The sequence below is a fragment of the Homo sapiens genome, chromosome 8 (assembly GCF_000001405.40).
Source record: "Homo sapiens chromosome 8, GRCh38.p14 Primary Assembly".
In the NCBI taxonomy this organism is placed as follows: Eukaryota; Metazoa; Chordata; class Mammalia; order Primates; family Hominidae; genus Homo; species Homo sapiens.
Window position 1 is genome coordinate 100,661,797 of NC_000008.11, and position 15,243 is coordinate 100,677,039.

A 15,243-nucleotide genomic window follows, 5' to 3' on the forward strand; every position below is an offset into this window, starting at 1 on the left:
TGGGATTACAGGTGTGAGCCACTGCATCCAGCCACTGTTTTTTTTTGAGACAGAATCTTGCTCTGTTGCCCAGGCTGGAGTGCAGTGGCATGATCTTGGCTCACTGCAACCTCTGCCTTCCAGGCTCAAACAATTCTCGTGCCTCAGCCTCCGGAGTAGCTGGGATTACAGACATGCACCTCCACGTCCAGCTAATTTTTGTATTTTTAGTAGAGACAGGGTTTCGCCATGTTGGCCAGGCTGGTCTTGAACTCCTGGCCTCAAGTGATCCACCTGCCTTGGCCTCCCAGAGTGCTAGGATTACAGGCATGAACCACCGTGCTCAGCCGTATTAAATCATTTAACCTCATGACATGTAGTAGGTACTCTTCTGCTCCTCCCTTTATTGATGAGCTCACTGAAAAACTCCATGATTGAGAAAACTGCCCAAGGTTATGCAGCTGTTAAATGACAGAGCCAGGATATGAACCCAGACAGTGTGATTCTAAAGCCGGTATTCTCAACTGTCATGTTAAACTGCTATGATCACTCAGCAATGCCTGTCAGGGGCAGGAGTAGGGAGAGATGGCACTTGTACCATGTATTTGCAGCACCCAAGCTCTTAATAACTGCAATGCTGGGTCGGGCATGGTGGCTCACGCCTGTAATCCCAGCACTTTGGGAGGCCAAGGTGGGCGGTTCACCTGAGGTCAGGGGTTTGAGATCAGCCTGGCCAACGTGGTGAAAACCCGTCTCTACTAAAATACAAAAATTAGCCAGGCGTTGTGGCAGGCGCCTATAATCCCAGCTACCTGGGAGGCTGAGGCAGGAGAATACCTTGAACCCAGGAGGCAGAGGTTGCAGTGAGCCAAGATCGCGCCACTGCACTCCAGCCTAGGCCACAGAGCAAGACTCCGTCTCAAAAAAATAAAATAAAAATAAATAACTGCCATCCTTTCTCATCTAAACTGTCCTACCAGATGTTTAAGTCCCCTCTACAATATCAATTTCAGCTGTTGCTTGAATGGAGAGCATTTTGAGGTAGGAATTTGCTCAGTGCTAGAAATATTTGTTCCCAAAAATAGAGTATCATAACACACTTGGCCTAATTTAAAAATACATATTTTTGACTTTTGAAAATAAATCAGTGCTCTACTATTAAAAAAACAAGAAGAAAATCGTGCTCCTTGCAACAACATGGATGTAGCTGGAAGCCGTTATCCTAAGCAAATTAATGCAGGAACAGAAAACAAACTACCACATGTTCTCACTTGTAGATGGGAGGTAAACATCAGGTCCACACAGACACAAAGCTGGGAACAACAAACACTGGAGGCTCCAAAAGGAGCGGGGGTTGGAAACCTACCTTTCGCGCAGCGCGTTTGCTACTTGAACGACGGGACCATCAGAAGCCCAGACCTCAGCACCATGCAATATACTCCGTCTAACAGAGCTGCGCAGATACCCCCCCCAATCCAAAATTAAAATGAAAAGATAAATAAATGAAAATTAGGAATGTTTGATTCCCACTGAGCAGTATCTTTGTATTTGAGAGTTAAAAGACAGAAATAGCTCTTTTCTCGACAGTACAACTGGAAATAACCCAACCAAGCCTTTTTTGAATGCACAGGGCTTTTGAGGAATGCTTTTTCAGAGTTGTTTTGTTTCTGCTTTTGGTGCTTTTTGGCTCCTCTTCCTCAGTTGCGAGGATACCATGTGAATTAAGACGGCGATGTCCCCCAGCTCTGAAGCAGTCACAGTGGAGCCCTCTGGAAACCCTATCGGAGTAAAAGGTCCTATAAAGAAGATTTTGTTTCTTCAACAGAAATGAGAACCGTAGCTCCATGGCCGGAGAATAAAGGAAAGGCGTTTTCAGCCATGCCAGTGTGCACTGTAAATAAGAATGTGGCTGGGTACGTCCTGCCTGCTGAGCTTGTCTTACTATTCAACTATCGGACTTTGATTTTGGTTAAGTAAACATGAACTTGGGGACAACCAGCTTTTCTGCATCTCTAGTCAGGGAGTTGTAGGCGCAAGGTTGAGCTGGTGGCTCTGGCAGTGAGCTGGCCAAGCGAGGTGGCCTGGTTTTCAGCCAAGAAAGGAGAGAATGAATATATAGTGGATACCTATGGCGGATCTGGCACTGTGGATGGGCTGTGGGTCCCACAGTAGATGTCTCTGTGCTCACACAGTCTTACAGGGAAGCCAGACATTCAGGAAGAAAGAACACAAGTGGATTCGATTCCAAGCGTGATCCACTCTAGGAAGGGCAAGCACAGAGAAAAAGGTTGCCTCTTGAAAGGGAGACAATGGAGTGAGGCCTGAGTCTGCTGTTTCCACATAAATCTTATGGAACTAGTTGATTCTTTAACCTGTATACAACTACAGTCTTGATAAAAAATTTTAAAATGAAAAATAAAATCAAGTGAGGGGTGGGACTAGATAACCTCTGTGCTTTATCAGAATTTCTAAGATAATCTTAGATCTGAAATTCTAAGATACTGCCTGTTGTGCTAATGCTTTGGGAAGAACTGGTTAACAGCTAAACACCCTGAAAATACTGGAGTTTACCTCCCCTCTCCCCACCTTTTTTTTTTTTTTTGAGACACAGTCTCACTTTGTCACCCAGGCTGGAGTATAGTGGCACGATCTCGGCTCACTGCAACCTCTGACTCCCGGGTTCAAGTGATTCTCCTGCCTCAGCCTCCTGTGTTGCTGGGATTAGAGATGCGCACCACGACGCCCAGCTAATTTTTGTATTTTTAGTAGAGACGGGGTTTCACTATGTTGGCCAAGCTGGTCTTGAACTCCTGACCTCAAGTGATCCACCCTCTTCAGCCTCACCGAAGTGCTGGGATTACAGGCGAGAGCCACCACACACGCCCCACCCACTTTCCTTTTCTTGAAATGTGGTAAGGAGGAAAGGGGAAGTCATAGGAGAAACAATGTTTGGGCCCTGACTTACACCCAGGTGCTGAGCTAAGCACATTTGTCTTCGATCATCTCAGTTAGCTGTCATGGTTATTATTGTCCCAAGTTTAAAGATCAGGAGAGTCTGAAGTAATTTACCTAAAGAAACACAGCTGATGAGAGTCCCAGCCTGAATTTGAACCACAGCTCCAGTTGTTTCTTGTGTTGACATTTGATTAAACCCAAGGGCAACACATTACCTCCCCACCCTGAGCCGGACCCCTTGAAGGCAATTTTGCAGGAGTTGATCCTGCTTTGCAGTGTGGCTTTATGATGTAATCTGATCTAATTCTATCTAATTTGATGTGAGGAGAAAACTTAGAATACCTATAGGAGTGAGATGTGGGCTTATAACTCTTTAGACACTAGTCCTAGAAACTCATTAGAAATATCCTAATTTTTTTTGTAAAGATGGGGTTTTGCCATGTTGCCCAGGCTGGTCTCGAACTCTTGGACTCAAGCGATCTGCCCACCTCAGCCTCCCAAAGTGCTGGGATTACAGGCGTGAGCCACCGTGCCTGGCTGAGACATCCTGAATAAAAAGGGGAAATGTACTTAGTGTACAGGGGTTCTTTTAAGAACTGTAGGACAGGATATATATAGTTGGGTCTTGAGAAGGGATGGATCTTGAAACTGGAAAGTTTCTGAAACTCTCTATATCTCTTTTCTCTGCACATCTGCTAATCCGTTTTCCCTTCTTCCCAAAATAACCTGGCAGAGTATAGTCACTGTGTAACTCTTGCCCTTCTCCATCCTCGTTTTCATGTTACCTGTAACAGTTCCAGCCTTAGAGAGTGATTCAGTCTGCTAGTAACCTGGTTTGAAGTTCCTGGGAAAGAGAATTTGATTTGTCCATGCCTGGTCTAATCAGCAGAGAATGTGGCCATCCTACATGAATATGCATGTGTGTGTGTGTGTGTGTGTGTGGTGTATATGTGTGTGTGTGGTGTGTGTGTGTAGCAGTTCCATGAGAAAAAGAAAAGGTAGGGCCATGTGCTCACAGGCTTTACTAAGTCTGACCTGCTAGGACATAGCACCCTGGAGTTCACTTCCCCTTTCTATTCCTACTTTACAGGACTAAAAAATAAATTTGTGATAATAACAAAATATCATTAAAGAAGCAAAACAAAAACGTTTAAATTATATGTACAGTGGCCTTTTGAAATACGTATTAGTCTAATTTTTGGTTGTATATGTCAGAAACTAAACTCAATGTAACTCAAGCAAAAAGAAAATTGACATTCATGCAAACTGGGAAATACAGATGTGATCTGACATCATGCATACATGAATCTGGGATCTCAAATAATATCTTCGGGGCTTTGCCTCTCTCTTATCACTTCTCATTTCTGCCTTCCTCTCCACGTTGGTCTCAATTGCTTCTTCTATAGATGGCTGTTTCCATGAGGCTGGGAAAGATGACTACAAGTAGTTCCGGTTTGCCAGCAGTTACAGCCACTCATTCCGGGAACAGTGCTTCTTCGTGTGTGGAAGGGGAGGTCAGTAGCACCCCCTGAAGAGCATTTTGGGAATTTGTGGGGATGGTTTTTGTCGTCACAATGATGGTGGAAAGCTACTGCTTAAATTTTATGCTAGACTTGCTGTGAAGCATGGAATAGTCCTACACAAAGAATTATCCTGTGTCTCACACAAATTTATAATGTCCAACTGGACATCTATGTGGGTGGAAAGCCTATTTGTAATTAATTGAGCCTAAACTTAACGCTATTTTATATATAAAGTATTTATTGCACAGTTTTAATATACATTGAGTTGTCCATACATACTACCTTGTGTAAAACAAAGGAAAGTTTTCTTTTGTTTGAAATTTTGCCAAGGGCTGTTCATGATTTCACTGTTTCAGAAACCACATCGCCGATGGCAATGCCACTTCCGGTGTTGGAGGTATCACACAGCACACCTGCATATGGCTTCATCTGTGGCTGTCACACTCACGGTAATTCTACATGTTTGAGCAAGCATCCGACTCCCTCATTGTGTCTTCTAGTGTGGGCATAACCATGCATTTACTTATTGATGCATTATTATTTTATTATATGCTATTTTAGAAATGATTTTATTTTATTATACGCTATTTTAATTTCTCTTTTCTACTACAGTTAGGGCATCATATTGATTTTTTTTTTTTTTTTTTTTTTGGTATAGACAGTGTCTTTTTTCTGTTGCCCAGGCTGGTCTTGAACTCCTGGCTTCAAGCCATCCTCCCACCCCCAAAGTGCTGGCATTACATGTGTGAGCCACTGCACCCTGCCTGAGGTTTTAAATAACATGTACATTATCTATTACCTTTCAGTATATTAAAAGGATAATAAAGTATTTGTTTATAAGAAGAAAGTGTTAGATTTTAGAACCACTGTCTTAGAGGAAGAGGGCTGTGTACTCCCTCCTAATGAGCATCACCTTGCCAACTTGCAAGATTGACCCAGATGGTCTAGCGTGGGTCATAGTCCACCCCTGAACCCAAGGGGTGACCAAGAAAGGAAGTGCTCCTGGCTAGCTTGGTTAGTGGGGCACCCTTGGGAAAGGGGTAAGAAGGGAGGCAGAACAGGCAGGACCCCAAGATACATAGCTTCTCAGGGCGGCATGGAGTGGGGAGGGGCTCCACAAAGGGAAAATGGGGTGCTGTTACTACATGAAGGCAGAAGGGAAGCTGGACAGGCTAAAGCGACAATTATGGACAAAAAAATTTAAAAAAAAATATTCATGACTTAGAAACCTAAGAAACGGAAAAGTGTTGACGAAACATTCCCTGCTATAGCCTGCAGGGCTTACAGAACAAGTCCACTACAAATCCAATTGCTAAGGATGGAGAGAAACAGAAAATGATCATTGAAATGCAGAAAACTGCAAGAGAAAAAGCCAGGATCCCCTCTAAACAACATCGATGATGCAACATAACAAAGCTTCCTGCCTAAGATTGGCAGGAATTCCAGCTATGCTGTGCACAGCGGGAGATGGCCACGCCAGAGAGCTGGGCTTGGCAGCCAAGCTCCTCGGCTGAATGTTGAATCAGTCCCCAGGACTCCGCTAGTGGAGCACTAATTTTGGTAATCCCTGACTGCATATAAGCAGTTGTACATAATAATGGCACTCCAGGGAATTGTATCCACTCACTTGGAAGAACCAAGCAAAGGATTTGCATTGTTCTCATCAACTGGTTGCCCATCTGGACATCCTCCTTGTGGGCTGAACTCTATATTTTTTTATAGAAACAAAGCCTTAGGAGAGCTCCATAAATATCACTTCTTTCAGTTGGGTTGTGCCTGGAGCTAGGGAGTGAACAACTGAGCCTAGAATATTGATATTCTAATTTGCTGATGGAGGGGCTGTACGGGTTAATCATTATTTTTTCTTTATTCAATAAACATTTATACAGCATATTCCATGGCCTGGTACAGGACCGAGTGATACAAAGACTTGAGACTCATAGCTAGTGTGAGATCATGATCCATAAGCAGAAGTGCTGGATGACACCATGGGCTCATTCCCCATTCACTCCACCCCATGCATTGCTGCCCTCTTCTTCTTGGGCCTATCAAGCTGACTCCTGCCTCAGGCCCTGGTTTTTGGCTGTTTTCTCATCCCTAGATAGTTTATGAGTCCATTCCTCTCTTCCTTCAGGTCTCTGCGTAACTGCCACCTCCACAAAGAGGCCTTCCCTTCCCTAAACACCCCAGCTAAAAGAACCCCTCTCACTTCCCCTCCCAACCCTTATTCTCTTATTCGTGCCTGTTTTATCCCCTAACCTAGTTTGATTTTTCATCAAAAGAGTCTCATTAATAAAGCTGGAGAAGAAAATATTATCAATATCTTATGTTAAAATAATGGTTACTTCTTACTAAATATTTTCTATTTAGGCCGGGTGCGGTGACTCATACCTGTAATCCCAGCATTTTGGGAGGCTGAGGCAGGTGGATCACCTGAGGTCAGGAGTTCAAGACCAGCTTGGCCAACATGGTGAAACCCCGTCTCTACTAAAAACAGAAAATCAGGCAGGTGGTGCACACCTGTAATCCTAGCTACTCGGGAGGGTGAGCATGAAAATTGCTTGAACCCGGGAGGCGGAGGTTGCAGTGAGCCAAGATCGCACCATAGCACTCCAACCTAGTTGACAAGAGCAAAACTCTGTCTCAAAAAATATATGTGTGTGTGTGTGTGTGTGTGTGTGTGCGCGCACATATTTATCTGAAATTGCTGTGTTTTAAGTATATTAATAACTTTTTTTTTCTTTTTTGAGACAGGGTCTCACTCTGTCACCCAGGCTGGAGTGGAGAGGCACTATCATAACTCACAGAAGCCTCGAACTCCTGAGCTCAAGCAGTACTCTGGCCTCAGCTTCCCAAGTAGCTGGGACTACCGGCGCATGCCACCATACTCAGGTAATTAAGGGCATTAACACTTAATTCTCTCCCAATAACTTTATGAATTGGTTCTGAGCTTGTTCTTATTATCTTTTTTGAAAAAAATAATAGGCCGGGTATGGTGGCTCATGCCTGTAATCCCAGCACTTTGGGAGGCCAAGTTGGGAGGATTGCTTGAGGCCAGGAGTTTGAGACCAGCCTAGTCAATATAGTGAGATAAAACAGGTGGGAATATAGTGGGAACATAAATAAATACATTTTAAAAATTAACAAACGTTACTTTTTAGATCAGTTTCAGGTTCACAACAAAATTGAATGTAAAGTGCAGAGAATTTCCATCCAAATACTCCTTGCTGCCCACCCCACAGTCTCCCCCACCAGAGTGGTACTTTTGTTATAATTGATGAGTCTACACTGACACATTATTATCATCCAAAGTCCATCGCTTATATTAGAGCTCACACTTTTTTTTTTTTTTTTTTTTTTTGAGACAGAGTTTCACTCTTGTTGCCCAGGCTGGAGTGCTCACTCTTAATGCTGTATATTCATCATCTTCTTTTTACAAATAAGGAGGCCAGGTGTGGTAGGTCATGCCTATAATCCCAGCACTTTGGGAGGCCGAGGCAGGTGAATCACAAGGTCAGGAGTTCGAGACCAGCATGGACAACATGGTGAAACCCCATCTCTACTAAAAATACAAAAAATTAGCTGGGCACGGTGGCAGGCGCCTGTAATCCCAGCTACTCAGGAGGCTGAGGCAGAAGAATCGCTTGAACCTGGGAGGCAGAGGTTGCAGTGAGCCAAGATTGCACCACTGCACTCCAGCTCGGGGGACAGTGTGAGACTCCATCTCAAAAAAAAAAAAAACAACAAACAAACAAATGAGGAAACTGAGGCAAAAGGGGTAAGTAACTTGCCCAAAGTCACACACAGCCAGGGTTTGGACTCCAGCCAGGTTGAGTCCAGGCTCTGAACCACTAGGCTGTACAGCTGCTCTCCACATTGTCACTTATCTATTGACTTCGTTTGACTGCCAACCACCTCCCCTCTAGAATACAATCTCCAACAGGACAGAGATTTGTCTACTCCACTGCTATACCCCCAGTGCCTTGGGGAGTGGCTGGCACAGAGCCAGCACTCAACAAACCCTAGAGGAATGAATGGATAGTGGCAGGAGGCAGACAAATCCTAGGCAGACAGGGATGGGTTCCCAGTGGAACCCCACCTTCAAGCCGAGGACAGTTTAAAGCCCAGCCATAAGTCCCAGATAAATCCACGGACTGGATTGAGAACCTTTCTTCTTGTTTGGCACACTTTCCTCTGATTGATCCCCACTCTTCACCTATTTTACATATGCCTGCCCTTCCCTAATTAGTTTATTACACTGTTGTGCCCACCTTTGAGTGGCACTTTTGTTTTAGCCTTTTTTGCATACTCACAAACCAATCAGCATGCAGTCCCCAATTCTTAGCCCATAAAAGCCCCGGACCCAGCCACACTGAGAGAGAGACCACCTGACTTCAGGTGGTGGACCACCCTCATGTCCCCTCTCCACTGAGAGCTGTTTTGTCACTCAATAAAACTCTTCTCTGCCCTCCTCACCATCCAGTTGTCAGTGTAATCTCATTCTTCTTGGATGCGGGACAAGAGCTTAAGACCCACCAAACACAGATATGAAGAAGTCTGTAACACTATAACCCTCCTGGCCTCTGCTGGCAGAGGGTAGCTGCCCCACATGGCAGGAAGCAGTGGTGGGTCTGGGCCAGTCCCAGAGCCTAGGACCGGAGTGGAGCAACAGGACTGACAGAGCTGTTAACACACCCCCGTTCATCGGGCCATGGATGGCAGGACAAAAGAGCTATTAGCATGCTGTAACACCCACTCTAGGGCTTCAGGGTCATGGGCATCCCTGTTTGGGTGCCACTGCATTCCCCTTGTCTAGACGTTGGAGTCCACCGCAACACGCCTGGTCCAGTCACAAGCCCTGCACAGAGCCCACTCCTGTGCCAGTGCTTGGAGCAGCTGGCCGGACCACACACTCACTCACATGTTCGCTCCTGCTGCAGGCTGAGTGTGCAGTTGTGGAGGCTGCAGGATCCACCCCAAAGCGCAAGTCAGGTGCAGTCCAGCAGGCCAAGTGAGCAGGGACACTGCCAGCTGTGGAGGTCTCCAGCTGGCAAAGCAGCATTAAAAAACATCCTGCATCATTTCGACATTGGTAAATATTCCTGCCCTGGCCCCTGAGGTACTCCAAGACCCTAAAGAGTTCTCTGAATTGCCACATGATCAAGACTTGGGAAGCTGTGGCCTCACACTTAACAAGAGTAGCACTTTCTACCAACAGATCTCAAGGCTGGCTGCACACTGGCATCACCTGGAAGCTGTTAAAATGCCAATGCCTTGGCCTCACCCTAGATCAATCAAATCAGCATCTCTGGGTGGGACACCAGTCTCAATGTTCACAGAGCTCGATTGTTGATTCCACTGTGCAGCCAAGTTTAAGAACCATGTTCATAGTTGAATCCCATCAAGTGGTAAAGCAACCTGAGTGGAGTTATAAAATATTGTCTCCTCAAATCTGGGGATAAAGTCAACAAAAATTACACAAGAATTAAGCAATGAGTATTTGAGTAATTTAAATTTGGGGACTGTTAAACCCCAACCCACCATAACCTTCTGGGAGAGCAAGAAATCCTTTCCTGTAGGCTCAACTTGTTCCTCCTTGTCATTAAAAAAATCAAACCAAAACAAAAACACACAAAACTCTGCTTAGATCTCTGTATCTTCAGAACTTGTGTCCTGGCCAAAACTATCTGATTGGTCAGTTATCTTAGCCCAGTCAATAGAAGGTACCCTCTAGTTTGCCTGGGATGTTTCCTTCCTGGGTATGTGACTTTACCCCTGGAAACTCTTAGACTTAATCTTAGAGATGATAAAATTAAATCCATTGTATCAATGTTTTTGTGTTACATTTAGAAGTGGTCTGTGTAATATTTATCAATAGGCACCTACAATGATACAATGTTTGTGATGTTTGAGAGGACTTGGCATGGTAGAGTATGCAACATATTAGCCTTGTGAGTCCAATGTAAAATGTGTAATTGAGTATTCAATTGTAGACTTTAGATTTTAAGTTGAAAAATAAAATAGCATTTTTTCAAGTTTATTAACAATATTGTAATGTTTGAGATAACTGGCAAATCACTGTTGTTACTCATTTACTTCATTAGCTTTCCTACGGTGGCTTAAGTATTTGGGGAACGTTTTGCTTCTTAGTCTGGCATTCGAGGAGCTTAAAGTTAAATACGTTTAATGTGTAAACACAGCTTAAGATATTAATATTTACAGGACTTGAACTGTGTTGTAGAAGGGGGCCAGTGTTTGCTTTGGAGACACCCTGGACTCTCTCTCTCCCTCACGTACTCCATAACTCATCCATTGACAAAGCCTGTTGGCTTTTCCTTTAAAATATATCCAGAATTTCACCCCCTTTCACCTTCTCCTACACTCACCCTGGTGTAACCACCATTCTCTCTCACCTGGATTAATAACATAGACTCCAACTGGTCCCTCTGCTTCTATCCTTTTCCCCTCCTATAAGCCAGGCCATGTCACTCCTACCCATCTTCCAGCAGTTCATATGGGGTAGTAACTCACCCTGCTCCCATCCTTTTCTGACCTCATCTCTTCCCGCTCCCCATTCCTTGGGGGCAGTCACTCTGGACTTGCCTGAAGCAAGCACATCCCCACTCTAGGGCCTCTGCACTGGCTGCTCTCTCTGCCTAATGTTCTTTCCCCTGGTGGCCACATGGCTCATCCCTCACTTTCTTCAGGCCTCTGTTAAAATGTCACCTCCTCTGAGATGCCTTTTCTGAACATCCTATGCAAACCCCTCCATGCCCTCCTCTCACCCCTTCAATCCTGCCCCGCTTACCCTACTATTCTTCTATAGAGCACTTATTGCCATCTAACAGATTATATACTGAACATCAGAGGCATCCAAAAAAGTCACACTGACATGACAATGGGAAATCATATTACATTTAGAATGATGTCAGCATTAATTGTTTTATATATATATAAAATATATGTAATATATATATATTTTAAATAGGAACAAGGTCTCACTATGTTGCCCAGGCTGGTTTTCAAACTTCTGAGCTTAAGCAATCCTCCTACCTAGGCCTCCCAAAGTGCTAGGATTATAGACATGTGCCACCATGCCCAGCTGTTTTATACTTTAACATTTATTATTCATATGTTTTAAAAAATAGAGAGCAGCACCTTGTAAATAAAAACTAACAAAGCTCTTCCAGTTGGTAGGTATCATTCTAAGTAATTTAATCACTTAATTCTCACAAGCATGTTAGTTGGTTATTACTACTAGTTCTATTTTTCAGATAAGGAAGTTGAAGCACAAAAACAAGTGTGTTGCCCAAGTTCACACAACCACAGGTGGCACAACAGGGATGCCAGGCCAGGCCATCTGGCTCCAAGGCCCATGTTCTTAACCACTTTGCTAGAATATTCTATTGAAGGCCCCTTCCCTGTGAGAGATAGAGAACAAGTCTAGGCTAGTCTCTGCCACCAGTCAACAGGGTGACCTTGGACAAACTAACTGCTTAACCTCCATCTTATCTGCACAATGACTCCCTTTCAGCTCTGAGTCTTGATTAATTGACATCAAATAACAATTATCTGAGTTGCTGCAGAAAACTCAGGATAAGAGAAAATTGATTTAGAAGACATGAAGGATCTGGCTCACATGCCCACTTAGAATAAAGACCCACTCTCCAGGAAAACTTACATGTGCCTACGATTTTGTAAACTATTTCAGGTTTATAAATTCCCTACTGCCCTAAGTCCTGGGTTAAGAACCCTTATTATAAACAATAAATTTCAGACCCTGGAAAGAGTTCTAAGGAATATGGGTTCTCGGCCGGGCGCAGTGGCTCACGCCTATAATCTCAGCACCTTGGGAGGCTGAGGCGGGTGGATCAAGAGGTCAGGAGTTCAAATCCAGACTGGCCAAGATGGTGAAATGCTGTCTCTACTAAAAATACAAAAATTAGCTGGGTGCAGTGGCAGGTGCCCGTAATCCCAACTACTTGGGAGGCTGAGGCAGGAGAATCACTTGAACTCAGGGGGCGGAGACTGCAGTGAGCCAAGATCATGCCACTGCACTCCAGCCTGGGCGACAAAGTGAGACTGTCTCAAAAAAAAAAAAAAAAGGTTGGGGGAATATGGGTTCTCTTTCTCTGGAGGGGTTTTTAAAAATAAAGCTGGCCTTCCTTCTTTCCTTCCTTGAGAGACAGGGTCATGCTCTGTCACCCAGGCTGGAGTGCAGTGGTGCGATCACAGCTCACTGCAGCCTCGACCTCCTGGGCTCGAGCAATCCTCCTGCCTCAGCCTCCTGAGTAGCTGGGATTACAAGCATTCACCACCACACCTGTCTAATTTTCTTGATTTTTTTTTTTGTAGAGACGGAGTCTTGCTATGTTGCCTAGGCTGGTCTCTAACTCCTGGGCTTAAGCAATTCTTCCCCTTGGCCTCCCAACGTGCTGGGATTACAGGCATGAACCACTGCACCAGGCCAAGGCCGGAGGTTTGAAAGGTTGGAAGTTGTCTAGATGTGGTTCAGCTGGAAGAAGGAAGAATAAGGACCCTCAGGGCTCCCCAGACTCCTAGCTGTGCACCTGAGTCACCTGGGGCAGAGATTCTCAACCCCGGCACTACAGACATTTCATAGGATGACTACTGTGGAGGCTGCCCTGTGCACTGTAGGATGTTTAGCAGCATCCATGGCTGCTACCTGCTTGCTGCCAGGACCACCCCTCCTCCAGGTGTGACAACCAAAAATGTCTCCACACTTTGCCTAATGTCCCCTGGGGGTTCAAAATCAACCCTGATTGAGAGCCACTGACGTAGGGGAGCAATTTATTTTTATTTTTATTTTTTGAGACAGGGTCTCACTCTGTTGCCCAGATTGGAGTGTAGTGGTATAAACATGGCCCACTGCAGCCTCAACCTCCTGGGCTCAAGAGATCTTCCTGCCTCAGCCTCCTAGGGTAGCACTTTTTTATTTTATTTTATTTTATTTATTTTATTTTATTTATTCTGAGACGGAGTCTCACTCAGTCACCCATGCTTGAGTGCAGTGGCGTGATCTCGGCTCACTGCGACCTCTGCCTCCCAGGTTCAAGCAATTCTCTTGCCTCAGCCTCCCAAGTAGCTGGGACTATAGGCATGTGCCACCATGCCCAGCTAAGTTTTGTGTTTTTAGTAGAGACAGGTTTCACCATGTTGACCAGGCTGGTCTTGATCTCCTGATCTCAGGCGATCCACCCTCCTCAGCCTCCCAAACTGCTGGGATTACAGGTGTCAGCCACCATGCCCAACCAGGGAGCACTTTAAAAATAAGCCTTGTTCACACAAAAACTTGTACATGAATAATCATACCAGCATTATTAACAATAGCCAAAAAGTGGAAAGAGCCCAAATGTCCATCAAATGATGAACTGATAAATAAAATGTGGTATCCATACAATGGAATATTATTCGTCCATAAAAACAATGGAATATTGATACATACTACAACAACACGAATGAACCTGGAAACATTATGGAAAGTGAAAGAAGCCAGTCACAAAAGATCACAAAGTATTAATATATGACTCCATTTATATGAAATGTGCAGGATAGGTAAATCTATAGAGACAGAAAGTAGATGAGCCAGGCACAGTGGTTTACACCTGTAATTCCAGCACTTTGGGAGACTGAGGCAGGCGGATCACCTGAGGTCAGGAGTTTGAGACCAGCTGGCCAACATGGTGAAACCCCATCTCTACTAAAAATACAAAAATTACCCAGGCATGGTGGCAGGCACCTGTAATCCCAGCTACTCGGGAGGCTGAGGCAGGAGAATCACTTGAACCCAGGAGGCGGAGGTTGCAGTGAACCGAGATCGCACCATTGCACTCCAGCCTGGGTGACAAGAGTGAAACCGTTTCAAAAAAAAAAAGAAAGAAAGAAAGAAAGTAGGTGAGTGGGTGCCTAGGACTGGGAAGACTGGGGAGACAGGGTGATTGGGGAGTGACAGCTAATGGTCACACGGTTTCCTTTTGGGGTTGGTTAAAATGTTTTAAAATTGATTGTGGTGCTATTTTGCATAACTCTGTGGATATACCAGAAAACATTTAATTGTACACTTTAGAAGGGTGAATTGTATGCTATGTGAATTGTATCTCAATAAAGCCCTTTACCAAAAAAAAAAAAAGTCCCTACCATGCCCCCAACCTCCTGCCTCAGGCCTATTAAATCAGATTCTCCAAGCGACAGGCCCTGGGAATCGAGTACATGTCAAAGCTCCTGGATGACCCTGATGCAGCTGGGGAGCCTCCTCTAACTCTGTGGGTGGCTCAGACTGAGTGACTATAATTTGTTTTTTTTCCATCAACCCTTGCCTGCTAGTCAGAAGAGGAAAGAGGAGCATGAATTAATGAAGACCAGCAAGTTTCCCCATTGAGACAGTAATGGAGTTGTCATTTGTCTATGTCCAGGAGTTGTTTTTCATCTTCTGGTGTCTAGCAATGGAATGGAAAATTCCACAAATTATGAATTGGCAAGCAATGCCCCCCTGTGGACTGTCACAATAAGAAGTCCCAGTGTTTACATTGCTTTTAGATCTTTTAACCAAGTATCTTTCCTGCCTGCATCATTTTATCTTCAGTTCATCTGTCTTAGAATCCGGATAGAGAGCATATGTTAGGTCTTGGAAAGTACAAGAGGAGAGAAAGCACTTTGAAAGGTGACATTCCCAGAACTGGTGAAAGTTCAGGAACAGATTTCTTGAAGGTAAGTGAGGTCTGGTCATATGGTTTTCTTTCAGGTTACCACTGGAAAAGGCTCCAGC

General features: G+C 44.5%; 1 protein-coding gene and 1 long non-coding RNA gene across 2 annotated transcripts in view, besides 1 other annotated feature; one reads left to right on the top strand and one right to left on the bottom strand.

The window, feature by feature from the left end:
- Positions 1–1,789, bottom strand: part of SNX31 (sorting nexin 31) — a 90,712-nt gene extending 88,923 nt beyond the window's left edge. The window contains exon 1 of the mRNA XM_011516899.2: positions 1,346–1,789. The gene's annotated coding sequence lies outside the window, so the exon portion shown is untranslated. The remainder of the gene's footprint in view (positions 1–1,345) is intronic.
- Positions 1,768–7,390, top strand: LOC105375672 (uncharacterized). Its single transcript, XR_001746019.2, has 4 exons — positions 1,768–1,892; positions 4,341–4,448; positions 4,814–4,906; positions 7,212–7,390. It is a non-coding gene; the product is annotated as an uncharacterized LOC105375672 (long non-coding RNA).
- Positions 5,608–6,218: an enhancer, noted in NCBI's record as "OCT4-NANOG-H3K27ac hESC enhancer chr8:101679632-101680242 (GRCh37/hg19 assembly coordinates)". NCBI's record gives its function as "activates a minimal SCP1, AML or CMV promoter by ChIP-STARR-seq in naive and primed H9 embryonic stem cells {active_cell/tissue: H9 hESC(naive and primed)}" and the evidence as "EXISTENCE:reporter gene assay evidence [ECO:0000049][PMID:30033119]".
- Positions 7,391–15,243: the final 7,853 nt, after the last annotated feature.